The sequence below is a fragment of the Homo sapiens genome, chromosome 6 (genome assembly GCF_000001405.40).
Source record: "Homo sapiens chromosome 6, GRCh38.p14 Primary Assembly".
Taxonomy (NCBI): Eukaryota; Metazoa; Chordata; class Mammalia; order Primates; family Hominidae; genus Homo; species Homo sapiens.
Window position 1 is genome coordinate 159,421,633 of NC_000006.12, and position 18,194 is coordinate 159,439,826.

Genomic DNA, 18,194 nt, shown 5'->3' on the forward strand with positions numbered 1-18,194 from the left:
TACAGCAAGCTGATGAGAGGGGGCCTGTGCAGCAAGCACGGTGGCCTCATCCTAAGCCTAAGCCCTGGACCCATGTTAAAGAATGCTGTCATTTTACATTACAAGTGCAGGTGACTTAACCCCTGTGTTCCTGCTGTGGCCTGTGACATCCGCAGATGGTAGCTCCTGGGTCGTCTCAGTCTGACTGAAGTGCCCTAGCATGGGCCAAGCAAGTTCCTAGTGAGACTGGAGGAAATCCCAGGCACAGAAGCAGAAAGGCAGGCAGGAGGTGGAAAGGGGCAGCTGTCAGCGTGCATGGGAGCGGGTGAGGGGGATGTCAGCGCCTGCTCAGCTGTGGGCCAGGGAGACGGGGGTAAGGCATTCGCATCCTCTGCCAGCCACTCCCAGCTCTGTCACTTCATGTAAGACTTTGGGCAAGCTAATTAACCTCTCCAAGCTTCATTTTCACAATGGGTAGACTTGACAATGAACGCCTTTGTGCTTAGAACAAGGCTGAACTTCAAGTCAGCCTCCTCCTCTGTCCACCCAGGACCAGGCTCAGCAGTCTGGATTTACTCCGTTCCTAAGAATGCCCGGCTTCCCTTTAGGGTCTGAAAGATTTGAAGTGGTCTGGCAAAGGAAGGAGTTCTGTCCCACAGGGTCACCGTGACACAGCTGTCCCGTCACCAGAGTGGCTTCTCGCTCATGACTCATTTTCTCAAAAAGAGGAGCCGACATGACAGTGGGAGCTGCGGGGCTGACAGTGGGGGCTGGGGGCCGCGGCTGGGCAGTGGTGGAGGATTTCTCGGTTCTCCAGAGTCAAGTCTGGTTTTGATGTAAATGCCTTCCAGACTGTTTCCCACTTGACTGACCCCCACACGCAGTCTTATCTCTGAATGACTCATGCCATGGGTCCCAAAGTGAGCATTTTTACCATAACCTTCTCGTAACCTCTGTAGATGTTCTATTGTCCTTGGAAGATGCCATTGCTGGGAAGCAGGAGGCAGTTCCTCCTGTCTGGCTCAGACTGTGGAGGCTTTCCTCGCAGGGTCCTGCTCCCTGTGTGCCCCTCACTTGGTCCAAGGCTTAGAGGTCAAATGTTCCACTCTCCTCCTGCGGTTGGTGCCACAGCCCCGTCCTCGGCCCTCTGCAGTGGATGCCTTTGGCCCCCTGCCCAGCTCCTGAGCTGTGGGCATGCTCATTCCAGTGACTGCTCCTCCCTCCTTGATCCGGGTGGTGACAGGAGTCTCCTAAGAGTTTTCGTGATAATTTTAGCTGACATGTACTGAGCACTAAGTGCCAACACAGAATTAAGTGGCTCATTTAATCCTCACAGAGATCCTATGAGGCAGGCGCTGTTCTTTGCCCCATTTAGCAGATAAGGAAACTAAGACTAGAGAGGTTTAATAACTTGGCTTGTATCACATAATCATGCCCATGAAGTCCAACTCCCGAATCTGCACCCTAATCTTCTGTGTCTCGCTCCTCCTTTCTCTTTGCACATCCAAACCTCTCCCTGATTGAGGTTCATTAAGCCAGCAGTGGGCCTGACCCAGCAGAGGAAGAGTCTTTTGTCTGCAAATTTAGAATTGGGACTGGAAGTGTGTGTTTGCGTGTGTGTGTGTGAGAGAGAGAGGCACCACATGGTAGAACCGAGATGCAAGAGTTGGGATTACCTCTTCCCTCACTACTGTCCTAGAGGCTGAGGAACCTGCCTCCCAAGACTGGAGCACAGACACGATGGTGAAGGCCTAGGGTACAGGGCTCCAGCAGCCCTCCCCGGGCCACTGCATTGCCAACCTTGAATCCATACGACATCCTGGGATCCAGGGCCACATTTTTACCTTGAAAGGCCCCAAAACCAGAGAAGATGAGTCCTCCTGAGTCCTGCATTAGTTGCTAAAAATGATGCTGGATCATACATTAAGCATAAGGAAGTTTTTCAAAGCTATGATTTGCATGTGATAACTACTTTACTTTTTAAAAATTGCTTATCAGATTCTTAATTTTTTTTTCCTGTACCTGCTTTGCTGGTGCTATAAGTATGTTCATGGTCTGCTTTTGGGGCCACCCAGCACTGTTAGTATATTTCTAATAAATTCTCCTTTTAAACTGAAAGTAGTCCATACTGGTTTCTGCTCCTTGTTCTGCCCCTCTTGCAAGCTGCTCAGTCAAGTCTGAATTCAGGGTAGGTTCACAGCTTAGATCCTCCTGCTGAGCCCCTTGCTAGCGAAGCAACAATTTGCAATGACTTATAAAAGCTTTTAGGCTAAGTTTTGTCTTTTTACTGAGTCTTGCTATTTTCAGTTGAATAGAATATAGATCTTTTAAAAATATTTCTTTAAGACTGATTCAATGAGAGTTTTTAATGATATCTTCCTAGAGACTGACAAAGACAATGTGAACAGGGAAACATCGCAAATGGGAAAAGCTATGTACCGAGGACCGGGTTAGGTCTTTAGAACCTCACATATTATTGGAGGAGGTATGATCAACAGGTTTCATTGTATTGCACACATGTAGGATGTCTCACAAATATTTAGAAAAAAGAGCAGTCAATGTCATGACCGTAATGACCCCATGAGCAAGTTTGCTGGTGCCATGAAAGGTACCAATGAGCAATCTCTCCAAAGACTCTGAGCAACATCTGGGCCAGCAGCTGCAGAAGTGTCTCCCTGGTCACTCAACTCACACAGAGCCTCAGAATGGCCTTATTGCAAAGGAATGAACTCGGTCATCGTGTCTGTGTTCGTTTCCTGGGGCTGCCATTACAAATGACTGCAAACTGGGTGGCTTCAAACAACAGGAATTTCTTGTCTCCCAGCTCTGGAAGGCAGAAGTCTGCAACCAAGGTGTGAGCAGACCCACGCTCTCTCTGAAGGCTCCAGGGGAGAATCCACTCCTGCCTTTCTCTTAGCTTCCGGTGGTTGCTGGCAATCCCTGGCCTATAGACACATCACACTAACCTCTACCACCTGGCATCCTCCCCTGTGAGCTTTCATGGCGTCTTCCCTCCGTGCATGTCTGTCTGTGTCTTCTCTTCTAATGTGGACACCAGTCCTATTGGACTAGAGCTCACCCTAATGGCCTCATCTTAGCTTGATTACATCTCACAAAGACTCTATCTCTGGATATCATTGGGGGTTAGGATTTCAACATACCGTTTGAGGGGGACACAATTCAACCCATGACAATGTCCAAACAGCCTCATCTTCTCCATCCCTTGCCCCTTAACTCTTAGTGAGGACCCAAGGCCACAGCTGTTCCATTTCCCACTGGCCCTTCCAGGCATGGTTTTCCCCACTGCCCTTGCACACTCTGGCCTCAGCCAAAGTCAGTGCCTGCATTTCCAGGTTCTTTCCTGTGAGCTTCTTTTCTTCTCAGCGGCTTCCTGCCACCCTTCGATGGCCTGCTCAGAGACCACCTTCCTGAAGCCAAAGTCAGGAGGGATTCTGGAAAGCTTTGAGGGCTCTGGCTCACTTCTGAGTCATCTGTGGCCTCTCTCCATATTTAATTTTTGTTAAGAATGGTAGTGTCATGTGCAGCCTTCTGACCCCTGCAAAGCCACGCAAGAGTGGTCTCAGCCAGGAACGTTTCCTTCCAAGGAGATAAGGGCCCTCCCAGCTCATGCTGGGCAGATCTCTTTGTTTGGGAATATCTCTCTGTTTTGGACTCAGTGTGTCCTCCTTTGCTCTGCATAAGCAGGTGTATCAATGGCCCCAGAGAGGCCCCCAGCTCTCTGTATCTTAACTCCACAGAGGAGGAGTTGGGGTCCTTCCCCTGCACATGAGAGGGGGAAGACCATCTCCCTGGCCATGGGGTACCGACACCTATGATTGATGCTGATCAGTCTGTCTCTTCTCTCTGTGAGTGAAGAGTTGTTCTATCCAATGCCTGTGTGAGCTGTGCCTTCCTCGGTGATCCCAAACCATGGAGTGTGTTGACATCCTGAGACTACTGCCCTAGGTGGAGTGCAACTCCTCCCCTGGAGGTGATAACAGCTGTCACTTGCTCAATTTTGTATTTTATCTTGCCTCTGAAACCTTAAGTACATTAAGCGTGGAAAATGTAACCTTTGTAACCTTGCAGAAGGTGCACACAAACGTATGTAGGCTATGGAGTACTTACTGAGTAAATGAACGAATGACTTGTAACCACAGCCTGAGGTGAGGTTGAGCATATTTTAAATTTGTGACTTAACACGCATGTACACACCACATGCCCACACACCCTGTTCAATTGGTTTTGACCAAGCTGACTGGCCTGTTCTGCTTTTAAAATGCTGTGGCATATGTCATGATAATGGGTTATTTTCATTCCTGTATCTAAACAAATGTGTTGGGTGTTTCATTTCCAGCACAGTATTTTGACATGGACATCATCATCACTATTCTAATTCTGGAGGATTGGCCCCAAGACCATGGGGAACTCAGTTGCTTGGATTAATAGTGAGAGAGTAAACCAGGAGGTGAAGGAAATGGAGCTGGTCAAAATGACGCACTTAAAGATCTGACCCTGATGGTAACTTCCCAAATATGGAGTCCAGAGGTATGTGGGGATGCAAGACTCATAGGAGTGGGCCTGATCTCCACGGTGCACAGTGAGTACAGAAGGCTGCAGCAGCAGTCCTAGTCTGTCCTGTGCAGCACCGTGCATCTCAGTGAACGTCCACATGGGGCAGGACCCACAGGGTCTCCAGGCTGCCCAACCACAGGAGGTACAACTCCATCTTGATCTATTTGGCACCTGGAGCAGGGCACTGGCTGTCCAACAAAGACCCATGTGCTCTTCTTGTTCCCTAGTTTCCTTATACTGACTGGGGCCATGTGACTAGCTCTAGTCAGTGAGTTCTGCTTGGCGTGGGTCAGTTTTCGGTAAAAAAACAATTAAGAGCCCATTCTCCTCATTATGCAATGAGCCCTGAAGCCATATATTGACAAGGTGGTATTAGAGGATGATTGATTCTTGAGCGGGTGGCTGGGGAAGTCTTATAGAAATGGAAAAACAGTATGTGCATGGAACAACACAGCACATATGGGAGGCTGACATTTCATGAGGGGAGCACCAAAACAGGCTATTTGCAGGGAGAGTAGTGGCAATAATGAACATAAGTTGAAAATACAAATTTTATTAACCAATTTGACAAAGTCTCTATGAAGGAAGTACTGCTTGAATCTTTATTTGATAAATAAAAAACCATCCGCACAGGGACATAGAAGCTCACCCAAGGCCCTGCATCTACTAAGAGAAACACCGGGATTGATATGGTTTGGCTGTGCCCCCTCCAATCTCATTTTGAATTATAGTTCCCATAATCCCCACATGTCATAGAAGGGACCTTGTGGGAGGTAATTAAATCATGGGGACAGTTTCCTCCATGCTATTCTCATGATAGAAAGTTCTCACAAGAGCTGATGGTTTCATAAGGGGCTTCCCCTTTCACCAGGCACCCATTCTTCTCCTTCCTGCCATCTTGTGAAGAAGGATGTATTTGCTTCCTTTTCTGCCATGGTTGTAAGTTTCCTGAGGCCTCACCAGCTATGCTGACATGTGAGTCAATTAAACCTCTTTCCTTTATAAATTACCCAGACTCTGGTACGTCTTTATTAGCAGCCTGAGAACGGACTAATACAAGGATCCAAACCCAGCCAGGCAGAACCAGCTTCCAGGCCCTTAGCCTCTCTGTGTGAGGCAAGCAATGTAAGGAACAGAGAAGGCATGATAGCCCTGGGGGGGGCCACTCCAGGATTTGAGGGCCTGGAATGTTACCTGAGCTCGCCCTCCTGTTTTGCTGGATCGATTTTATTCTTTGTTCACTTAGAAGATGTGAGTGTCCATGCAGTAAAAGACAAAATGAAAGGAGAGAAGAGAGAGACCTGAAGCAGAACATGTGCAGAACAGTGGTCACTGTCATTACCCATTGACGTCATGTACTCAGGAACAACCAAATGAGAACACGCAGAATGGTTCCTTACACATACAGGGAAGAAAGAAAATTGTTTATCAGCATGGAGGACAATTATCTTTCGGCTTCTGCCCAGCATACAGTAGCCTCCATTTGAGCTGTAGTGAATTTCTCAGTTTTTCAACTGCTGTCTTCATTTTTGTTCCTAGTATGGGGAGGTGGGTATTACTATCTTCATTGCTCTTGATTGTTTCTTTTTTTCCCTTATGGACATGTTTCCTGCATAAAGGAACTCTCTAAAAGTTCATTTTCAGGGGATTGTTTTTCTTTAAAAAAAAAAGAAAAAAGAAAAAACTCTGCAGATTTTTCTCTGCAGACTTAACGTCTGAAACACACCCAGTTCCCGCTCCCAAATAGTTTCCTCTGTACGTTTCTCTGTGTGGGTTTTCTTCCAAAGTGCCACAGGCCAGACAGGGCTCTCTTTGAGCCCATCCAAGAGGCCCTGGTGTTTCTACAGGTTACAAACACAGAAAGAAAAAGCACATTCCCCACCCCAACCCTTGCCAGAGCTTGCTCTCTCTCTTTTTAGGCAAATGATGTTTTTACAGATTCCCCTTCATACTAACAACAGTGATGGATTTTCTGTTGCAACCCTTGAAATGTCTGCACACACCATGCATTATAATCAGATAAACCCTCAACCAAGCGAAGCATGGCCGTCTCATACCAGCCACTGTCTGCAGCCTTCTCTTACCTTCAGTTCTTGCCTGGCAGCAAAACTGGGCACACTCATGTCAGCGAGAAAATAAACCGGGAATATGGAATATATTAAGCTTAAGAGGAGGGTCTGGAAGGAATGAGCACTTTATTTGCTGAAGGCAGCTTAGTTGCACCTGACATTAATAAATGAAATGAAGTCTGATCAGTATTTAAAACAACCATACAAACTGGAACATGCTCATCCTAGTGAACAGAATGTGAAGAAAATCCAGAAGTTGGCAATAAATAAACTGCCTCAACTCGGTCAGCCATTTCTATTTTCTTTCTGTAAGATATTCACGGGAATCGGAATTTTGGAGGATCTCCATGAGGTTTTACTTCTTGCAAGGAACTTGTATTCCCTTTCCATTGTAACAGAAAGTTCCAGGGGAGCATCAATGAGAAGAAGGGGATGGGCATCTGCAAATACAATATGACCTAATGCAAATTTTGCTTCCTGCTAAAACTTTTTGAGACTCACAAAGATGTATGCAAAGGTAACATTCATTAAGGTAACAATAACTAACTTTTTTTTTTTAGTATGTGCTGGATATGGACTAAGTGCTTTACATGAATCATTTCATTTAACCCTCAGTAAACTTCAACATACGTTATGCTTCCCATTTTACAGATGTAAAACTGAGACTTGGAGAGGCTTAGGGACTGCCCAAGGTTACACACCTAGCTGGTGATCCACCAATTCCTAATATCATTAACTAAAATTTAGTGATCCAGGTGCTAATCATCTGGTATTATCATTTTTTATGTGAGTAGCACACACCAGTAGTTTGCATAAAACAGAGACAGTAAAATAGGCCAATGTTACAATTTTCTATGAAAGGCACAAAGGTAATATAGCATGAGGCTTCTATCTACCAAAAATTCATAAACCATTTGTTTATGAACAAGACTCACAATTGCAGTAGACCCTTGAACGACACAGAGCTTACAGGCATGCAGTCAAAAATCCATGTACAACTTCTGACTCTGCAAAAACTTTACTAATAGTCTATTGTTGACTGGAAGCCTTACTGATGACAAAAACAGTCAATTCACATGTATTTTGTATGTTATATGTATTACATTCTTTATTCTTACCATAAAGTAAGCCAGAGAAAAGAAAATATTATTAAGAAAATCATAAGGAAGAGAAACTTTATTTACTATTCATTAAGTGGAAAAAAGTGGATCATCATCAAGGACTTCATCTTAGTCTTCTTCATGTTGAGTAGGCTGAGGAAGAGGAGGGGTTGGTCTTGCTGTCTCAAGAGTGGCAGGAAAGATGGAAAAAAATCTGCATATAAGTGGACCCGTGTAGTTCAAACCCATGTTGTTCAAGGGTCAACTGTGATTAAACTGAGTTACAATTCAAGTTAATGTATAATCTTCACTGAACTCATAGCCTATTTTATCAAAGCTAAGAATCTTGTCATAAAAAGACCAACACAAGAAAACACCACCTCTCAATACTCAAATGTTCCTCTTGATGAAGTCACTGTGGCTATTGCACTGAAGTTTCTATCTGAACGTATCAATCTGCAGAATTCTTGGGGGTGGGTGTGGTATGCAGAGAAGAAGCAAGGGCCAGAAGTCAGGGAAGAAACATGAAGAGCGCCTGGCTGGTCCCAACTTCCCTCTGGTCACACTCCCTCACCCTTTGCCGCCTCATCCCTGCTACCTATCCTTGTTGAGGAAGAAGAGATGGGAGAGAAGAGAGTAGAAAGAGAGAAGGAAGTGAAAAGAGTGTTAAAGAAAGACATAAAGAAAATGGAAAGGAACTTCAAAGGGTCTTTGCATTGTTCTGAAGGTGAGAAGGTAAAATTAAACCTCCAAAAGAAAACTTTGCACTGTTAACAACAACAAGTTTTATAATACTTGCTTTCCTTGAAGAAAAGAAAATAGGCAGAGGGAAATGAGTGGATATTTCAAGGAATGTTATATAATGTCATAATGTAATGAGGGTTTGTGTGCTCTATGATGCTATGACAATTTGCAAGATTAATCCATTCAGTCTCCCATTTTTCCAGGCAGGGATTCTCATCAGGAATTCTCATCAGGGATCTGTTGAACTTAGAGGAATCTAGAAACCTGAAAGTTTTGCAAATTATTAGTTTCCGTAATTTTTCTGGGGAATGGTTCTGAAGCTTCCAGCAGCATCTCAATGGCATTTCCCAATTCTGCAAAGATTAAGAACTGCAGATTAAGGCAGATAGATTCCAGAAACTTTCGCTTTAAAGTTCTGACTTGGCAGGCAATTGGGAATCTTTCCACAGAGTGCTTTCCTCAAAAGGATAAAATAGTGACTTTATCAGACTTTCCAGTAGCCCCAATATTGCATCAAGCCCTTTCCAGGCAAGAATCCATATCCTCTTATCATTTCTCTTATGATCGGGTTTAAAGTTTTCTCACCCTCCACCAGTTGCTTCTAAGTATGCCCTGACCTGTCAATTTCTCCTTAATGCATGGCACCATAAAGTGAGCACTGCAATCCAGGATGAGTCGACCCATGAGGAAGCAGGCACTGCCCACCTTATTTTGAACACTTTGTTTCTGTTATAAAACCAAAGATCCCAAGAAGTTTTTTGAAAGATGCGTAATCCTTTTGTCTGGCAGGGATTTTTGACAAGTAAATTTCCTAAATCTTTCCTCATGTGTTACCTCTGAACTCAGTCACTTTCGACTTATCTCATATGTATACACTTGAGTGTTAGAAGACTAAAGAGCAGGATTTTATATTTATCTCTTTTAAATTTTATCTTGTCTAATTCAGTAAATGTTTAGCAAAGTGCATCAAAGTATTCTGGAAGCTCAATTTCTCATCCAACGTTAATAGTTGTCCCTCCCAGCCTCGTGCCACTCATGGGTTTATTTATCATGATCTCAAAGGCCTATCCAAGTCTCTGGTTTCCATATGGACAGGAGCAGGAGACCAAAGACTAGCAGCTCCTCCTATCTGATGCTGATTTAGGTTGATCAATGAATCAATGCTCTTTAGCTTTAAAGCATTCAACCAATTGTCAATTCAGCAGATTAAAATGAAATTCAGCCCATATTTCTCCATCTTGGCAATTTGAATATCAGGCAATTTTTTAAGAAACTTGCTGAAACCTAGATACTCTTCTTATGCATAGCATTCTTAGATATTTTCCACTCTACCTCATGACAACTATTGCAGAGAGACAGATTTTGGCTTAACAAAGCTGCTTGGGGCTGGAATACACCTGCTTCAGGTGGTGAGGTCTGTCATTGAAGGTTGAAAACATCTGGCTGGAATAAAATAGGAAATAAATAGGAATAAAATAGGAAAGATTTGGGTATCAAACAAGAGATTGAATTCTGTATCTGTATAGTGACTTGAGACTCTGAACATTTTTGACTATAAATGATGCTTCATGGGTGTTGAGTAAGTCAAATGGTAGCTTCGGGTAAGATTTGATTCAAGGATCAATGATGTCATCATGATCCCTTTCTGTTCTTCTTTTGTGTGCCAGAGTGGTTCTCAGGCTGTCTCCCCTTACTGTAGTCAGTTGGCTACAGCACCTTACTGAGCCCAGAGGAGAGGAGAATGTCTATAGTCTAGCATGCCTTGCAAACATATTAAGACTTGCACTGATTTAGACTGGATTAGGTCATGTGTCTATCCTGCAACAATCACTGTGGCCACAGAGATGAGACATGCTGTTCTGGTTATCTATTGCAACATAACAAATCACTTATCTCCCATGGTTTCTGTGGGTTAGGAATTTGAGTAAGCTCAGCTAGGTGACTTTTCCTGGGGCCCCTCATGGATTTGCAGTCAGATGGTGGTTGGGGCTAGAACAGTGGTGGGGAAGAGGAGTCGATGGTGCTAGGAGCTACCTGGCCATCTTTTTTTCCTTAAGGCAGTCTTGAGGCCTCTCTATGTGGTCTCTCCAATTGTGCCAGTTTGGGCTTCCCCACAATATGGAGGCCTCCGGGCCATGAGACTGCTTGCATACAGTGTCCCAGGAGAATAAGGTGTAAGTTTTTGGCATTTCTGTGGTCTAAACTCAGAAATCACATAATGTCTCTTCTGCCCTACTCTATTGGTTGAAACAGTCACAAAAACCCACCCATATTCAAAGGTAGGGTACATAGACTCTATCTCTTGATGGAAGAGGGGCAAGATTCTAGAAGAAACTTCTAGAAGAACAGTCATCCTTGGAAAATATAATCTTTCACATATGCTAATGGGCTTAATCCAATCAAAACGTGGCCCTAAGCTAAAAGCCCAAAAACAATATCCCAAAGTAAGCCTGGTTGATTGGGCATGGTGGCTCACACCTGTAATCCCAGCATTTTGGGAGGCTGAGGCAGGAGGATCGCTTGAGCCCAGGAGTTCAGGACTAGCCTGGGCAATATACTGAGACCCCATCTTTTTAAAAATTTTTAAAAAATATATCAAAGTAATCCAGGCTGTTATAGATGGGAGAAGAGGGGTGTAGATGGCAGAGAACAATCCCTCCTTCTATGTGAATGGGGACCAAAGCACAGGTGCAGAGGGATGAGGTCACTGTATTCTACCTACTTTAATTTTTTAATACAGATTTCTAAAACTACTTTATCATATGACAGATTTTGCCAAGAACTTATATTTACAACCAAAACTAAACACAACAGTGTTTGATTTTTTAAAAAGAAAACATTAAGTTACACATCATTAACTTAGATCTGCCAATGGAGAATCCATCTTGATGCATTAGGCTGAGTTTTCTTTGTGCTGGTTATAAACCGATTAATGGTATTAACAAAGGTGGGGGATCAAGGAACTATTTTAAGGGGATGAACAACTAGCTTTAATGTTGCTGAAGAGAAAAGGTGCTAATTATAAATATTTCTGAGAATCTGTTCATTAAACACTTTTGAGATTACAAAAGTTATTTCTTGTCTGCATTCTGTTATAAAAGTTTTAAATTCAAGTAAGAATTCAGTAAATACAGATAAAATGTGTACAGAATAAGGCTTATTTCTTTAAAAATAGTCAATAAATCAATATTTTTGTGGTTTTGTCAAAGTGACATTGACTTACTCCTAATTAGGATCAGGCTTTATATATTGTTTTTAATTGGGAGAAATATGTACCAAAATAAATATGAGATTTATTATTATAAATTCATATTTAAAAGGTAAAAAACTGCTGTGTGTCTGTGGCATTGCTGTTTTAAAGATTTCCTTGCATCCCCCCAAGAATGGCAGATAGTGTAATTACAGTATTCCTGCTGTGAACTTTTCTTTGTTTTCTAAATACAGTAAGTGTATCCGAAAACTTATTAAAATGAAATCCCCCTACCCTCTCACTCTTCGTGACTGTCAGCTTCCGATAAGCCCATACTGATGGTACTGATGGCGGCCAATTGCCCCTTGGCATTTGCTTTATTATAATTGCCCAATGGGTTCATCCTGCCTGCTGCACAGATAAAACCAATCTTCTGAGACAGCAGTATTACAGTAGAGAAAGAGTTTAATTATCACAGGACTAGCCAAGTGGCAAATGGGAGTTTATGACTCAAATCAGTCTCCCTGAGAATTCAGAGGCTAGGGTTTCTCAAGGCAGGGGACTAGGGAATGGGGAATGCTGATTGGTTGGGTTAGGGATAAAATCATAGCTGTCTTCTTACACTCTGTCAGTTCCTGGGTGGGATTGCAAGGTCAGATGAGCCAGTTTCATGGTATGGGGTACCAGTCCAGGTGGCACCAGCTTGTTCATTGGAATGCAGTCTGAAAAATACCTCAAGTACCAATCTTAGATTTTGCAATGGTGATGTCACCTATAGGAGCAAATGGGGAAGTTACAAAGCTTGTGACCTCTGGCTACAAGGCTCCTGAACCATAATTCTAATCTTGTGGCTAATTTGTTAGTCTTGCAAAGACATATTTGGTCCCTGAGCCAGGACGTAGTTAGTTTCAAGAAGAGACTGTTATCATCTTTGCTTTAAAGTTAAACTAAATTCCTCCCACAGTTGGCTTGGCCTATGCCCAGAAACAAACAAGGACAGCTTGGAGGTTAGAAGCAAGGTGGAGTCAGGTCGGATTTCTTTCATTGTCATAATTTTTCTATGTCAGATTTTTCTCACTGTCATAGTCTTTGCAAAAGCAGTTTCATTGAACTCCATTCTGCTCATGGAACAGTAGCTGCCAAGACTGGAGCTGGGGTGTTAAATGCGTGGAAAGACACTCAGCCTATGCCTCCCTCTACCCGCCAACACCCACAGCCTGCCTGTCAACAGCCCCATGCTCAATCATCCTAGGAATCTGCTCTACTGCTCTACTGTTTGGCGGTGGCTCTAGATTACTGAAGCTTTCTTCTCTCAAATGCTTGCTGTGCCAACAGTGTGTTTAACAAGGAACAGCTAAGACATTGAGTGTTCAAACAATGGTCAATTGTTGGGTCTGTATGAATTCAAGCAGCAGACTTGCCTGATTGCTTCATTTTTCTTTTTACCAGTTTGACTAACACCGCCTATTATTTTAACATTAGGTAGACTTTTTTAGTCACAAAAACCTACTCTCCATTTTTTAATGCCTTGCTAGATATACTTATTGTTGAATGTATGGTTTCTCTGCCTGTTAGCAGTGTTTTACCAGCTTTTGCCAACACAGCTTGTGCCCTATCTGCAGAGGACAAAGAAATGCAGAGGCCTAGAGAACAAGTCCATGCTCTCCCGTTCCCTGTTCAATGTCACAAGAGAGGCGCTCCCACACACCCTGTTGCACTGGAATGGACACAGAACCCTCAAGCTGTCAACAGTGACTTCCCACCCTGGGACCCCCTTCCCTCTCCCCTCTTCTGGCCTCCCCAGTCACTTCCAAGTTCCCATTTCTTCCACTTCTTCCAAATAATGCCTGCCCATCTTCACAGTGAGCACCTGGACACCACACTCACCTTCTCACCAGAAGTGCGAGTATCTCAGAGAGCGTTTCAAGGCAAGCCAAGGGGCAGAGCAACAGTGACTCTGGTGGCTAGTCCAAAGGCAGTGGAAAGTGGCCACTTCCCTGGGAGCCATAAGAAGGACCTTACAGTCTCACTTGGGCCCCATGAAGCTCTGGAGTATCATTCAAGGACTCCACATTTAGATTCTCCAAATGGCCAGAAATGTGCTGATTAACAGTTCACGAGGAACCACGTGGGTGCCGTAGGGTGCTGAAGGTTGCATGGCTGCGAGAAGATGTTCAAATATACCTGATAGGTGCTTCCTGCCCCATCCCACAGTATTAACCACGTGTTTCTGAAATTTTGACACCTAGATCCTCACTGACACTGGAGGGACTGCTCCCCCCAGGGCTAGTCAAGTCCTAGAGACAGCAAATGACTCCCCCATGAGTGTGCCCTTCATGTGCAAACCACACAGTCCAGAGCCCACATGCAGACCCTGTCTCCTCTAGCAGGCTCTGCCATGCTGGGCCTCTATTCCCCTGCCGTAATCACCCCAGGGCCAGGTGCCAGACAACTGGAAACAGCCCCTATGCCCCAGACCCAACAGAAATTATTCACACTAGCCGGTCCTAAGCCTGCTCATCCTATCTCCCCAGTTTCTTCCCTCGGAAACCTCGGCCGAGGCTCTTGCCTGTGTTTCCTCTAGCTTCTCTGCCACCTGCCCAACCCTGGTGCTTCCGCATGGGGCCCTGAGCATCATAGTGTGACCCTCCTCTCGGGAACTGAGTGACAATGGCAATCGTCTCATCTGTTGGCTTCACCGCACCTGAAAACCTACAATTTACACCACCAACCCCACTTTCTGCCAGAAAAATCTGTCCTAACCAGCTCCTCTGGCTGGGTTTATACATATTCTTATCACAGCTGCCAAGATCATGGTCACCAACAGGTCTTATCTGTGCAAAGGGGATAATGATAGAGCGAGGATGGTATGAAGAGCACGCTAGGCACACGCAGTGAGCTCTCAGCCCGGGTCTGGCGCTGGGAGGTGCTTGGTGCATCTCAGCTCTGATTACGATGATGACAAACTGTGCACCTCAAGGCCTCCAGGTCACCTCTGAGTGCCAGACACTTCCCATTCCAGCCCCTGTGCATTATCCTGAGCAATGCTTGTCTGCCTGTTAACACCAGCTCTGCAGATGAGAAGCCTCTCAAAACCCTTCCCCTGCACACCTCAGCAGGAGCAGCTGCTGCAGCGACACTGGGAACCCTCGAGTCTGAAGCCGGTGGGGAAGGGGCTCAGAATCTGCTTACCTGAGAGCTCAGGGAGCCTCCAGAGAGATGATTCACCTCACCTGGAGAGAGACAGCCAGAAAGGGCTGCTTACCCAGCAGCCGCTCCTCTGCCGTGCAGGAGAAACAGCAATTCTTTCCCTTAGATTTGTCTCTGGCCCAGAACCACCTCCATCTGATTCCTGAGGAGAGACGGAGGTGGGAACGGGGGTTTAGGGGTTATGGTTGAAGCTGAATGAGCTTCTTTCTCTTAAAACTCCAAACATCAACATTCAAGGCAGTACAGCTGACGGAACACAAAAGAACATCAACAAATATTGGACTCCAGTTAATGACATGTGTGGGAACAAAGGCACTGATGTTTGCAGCTGACTTTGAAAAGTCTAAAAACAATAAGCTGGATGGATGGGTAGCTGCACAGATATGTGGAAAGGAAAGAGAGCTGACGGCCAACAGCTGCGATGTATCTAGATGTGGCTATGTGAACCACCGTATAATTCTTTACATTCTTCTGTATGTGTAAAATATTGGGGACAAAAGGGACCAGAGACATCTTCCTTCTTCAGCATGGAAGGCAGAGTGGCCCTAGTATCCCGGGCATTCCAGGCCTCCGCAGCAGGAATGGAGGCAGATGGCAGCCAAGCAGCTGGGGAGCCGGGCAGTGGCAGGGGCACCTGGCAAAAGGGGCTTCGCTGCGGAGCACCCGAATCAGTGCAGGGCATCTTGGAGAGCTTCACAGGAGGGGAGCCCCCACTGCCGAGCAAAAGAGGGAGAAAATGTTGGGGCCACACAGTGCAGGGTGGACTTGCTCAAGAGCCCCCTGGAGACCCATCCCAGGACTTATCTGAAGACACTTTGCAGATGTCTTGACCCCTGCATTAAGAGACCCAGTGGAACACTGGTTATAGCTAGAAATGCACATATTTCCCAAAATTACTCTACAGATTTGTTTCCATCAGGAAATTTCAAATCCTCAAGTATAATTATATTTGACTTTTTTGAGATGAATCTTCTTTTTGTAAAGTATCACTTCCTCTGGAACAGCAGGGTTATTATTTAACAAGTTTAGCAAAAAACAAACAAAAAAAAACATTTCAAATAGAACGTAATCAAAGTTCTCTCCCTGATCCATCCCAATTGTATACTTCATCTTTTCAATGATGAATTGGATTCCTGTCTATGAAGCCCAGAATCCATTAAACTCCCCAAACTGGGTCTTAGTCACAGCACAACTGAGAAGCCATGTTTCAAACATGGAAGTGAGAATGAAGGACTTGACTTGCCAAATTACTGCCACACAAGCCCGATTTTCTCTACTAGCGGAGGCAGACCAATGGGAAGTGAACACCGAGGTCCATTTGTGAGTGAGCTCCCAATCCATGAGCAAAATAGTTTTGAAAACTTTAGGGAAACATTTGAATATTTTCCAGATATTAAGGACTCTTCCAACTTCTTTATTCAAATCCAAGTATGAATGACTCAAAAACATTAATTGAATCTTCCCACATGGACCAAGTTTTTTAATGAACATAAAAAAGTATGACTGATTGACATGCAAAAACTAGATGCAAAGATACAGAAGACTAATTTCTTACATCTCTCATGGACAAGATACTTATATCTTAATTACTTTGATTCTGTTCATTTGTAATAGGTCTCCTAAACTATTCACCAGCCAGCAATTTCTTATTTTGCAAATGCTGTCAGCCATCACTGGGGCTGGGTGGTATCAATAGGACAGAATGGTGGAGGGAACTCAACCGACACACAGGTTCTTTCCAGCTGGGTGTGCAGGATCAGGCTGATGCAGGTTGTGCTCTCAACTTTCACATAAATCACTGCAGAGGTGGCTGGGGCTCAGAGACCAGACAGACACATGGTGAGAGGAAATGCAAAGGAGATGTCGGCAAACAGGACAGCATCCTGAGCACCTGGCAATAGAAAGTGCCAGCTGGTAGGGACAGGGGCTCCCAGAGGCCAGGCAGGAACATGCTCAAGGGAACATGACAAGGATTCCTGCAGAGATTGAGTCACAAAGACCCAGCAGAGCACAGTCGCTCTGTGCTCAGAGTAGGAAGCTGAAAGCGGTCCTGAGTTAACATCATGAAATCCCCCCTTGGGAGACAGAACCAGCCTCAGAGGCTGGGGGCAAGGCTGACCCTAGTGGTAACCCATGGTGGGGTCACAAAGGCTATGACAGGAGCCTGTGCATCAGATATTGTATTAGTCTGTTCTCATACTACTGTAAAGAAATACCTGAAACTGGGTAATTTATAAAGAAAAGAGGTCAAATTGGCTCACGATTCTGCAGGCTGTACAGGAAGCATGACTGGGGAGGCCTTGGGAAACTTTCAGTAATGGCAGAAGGGAAGCAGCACATCTTACATGGCTGGAGCAGAAGAAAGAGAGCTAAGGGGGAAGTGCTACACACATTTAAACAACTAGATCTCTTGAGAACTCACTCACTATCATGAGAACAGCAAGAAGGAACTCTGCCTCCATGATCCAATCACCTCCCATCAGGCCCCTCCTCCAACACTGGGGATTACACTTTAACATGAGACTTGGGCAGGGACACAAATCCAAACCATATCAGATACCAAGTCAAAGCTTTGGGGAAACAGGGGATCAAGTATGACCCTATCCGAACAGGAGTGTCCTGAAAACAGTATGTGTAGTTGTTTAAAATTAATTCTCTTAAAATTCAGCATGAAATGAGGTTAAATGAATAACTGTGGCTTACCGTAAAGAAGAAATGCTAGCAGGTTGGAGCTCACAAACTTCACCCCATGCCACATTTCAGTGGGCTGAGCACAGTGTAGGCCCTTGGTGTTTGCTGGTTAGTTCTGAAGCAGGCTTCTCCAGGAGCAGAGTCAGTGGTCAACATCCATGATGAGAAATGAGGCACTAATTATCTCACTAATGGTGAGACTCTGTCACCCTCACCCCACCCTCCCCTCAATCCAACATCAGTTTGGCATCGATGTTCAAACTCTCACAATTAAAGATTAATTCCTTTGACTTTAAGCTTTATCCGCTATTGCAATACTAACTACTGTAACGTTAGTAATGGTCCTTTACCACTGAGTAGACATGAATCCCTAAAAGCCTTCCTTGAGAACATTTTGATCGAGGAAAAGAAGCAGAGAGTGTAAAAATATTAGGAAACTGGTATGGCACCAAGAGGCATGTGTGCTACAGAGAAAGTCCCAGGGAGGGGGCCCAGGAGGCAGGATTCACCACCTCATGTTTTATCTAAGACCTTCTTTACTGGATATCTCACTTGATTTAAGAACAGAGCTAATGAACTCATACAGAGCATGAAAAAAGGTTCTTTTCCAGCACATTCACTTCTTTTTCCCCTTAA

General features: G+C 44.6%; 1 annotated feature.

Moving 5' to 3' along the window:
• Positions 799–1,614: an enhancer, noted in NCBI's record as "H3K4me1 hESC enhancer chr6:159843463-159844278 (GRCh37/hg19 assembly coordinates)". NCBI's record gives its function as "activates a minimal SCP1, AML or CMV promoter by ChIP-STARR-seq in primed H9 embryonic stem cells {active_cell/tissue: H9 hESC(primed)}" and the evidence as "EXISTENCE:reporter gene assay evidence [ECO:0000049][PMID:30033119]".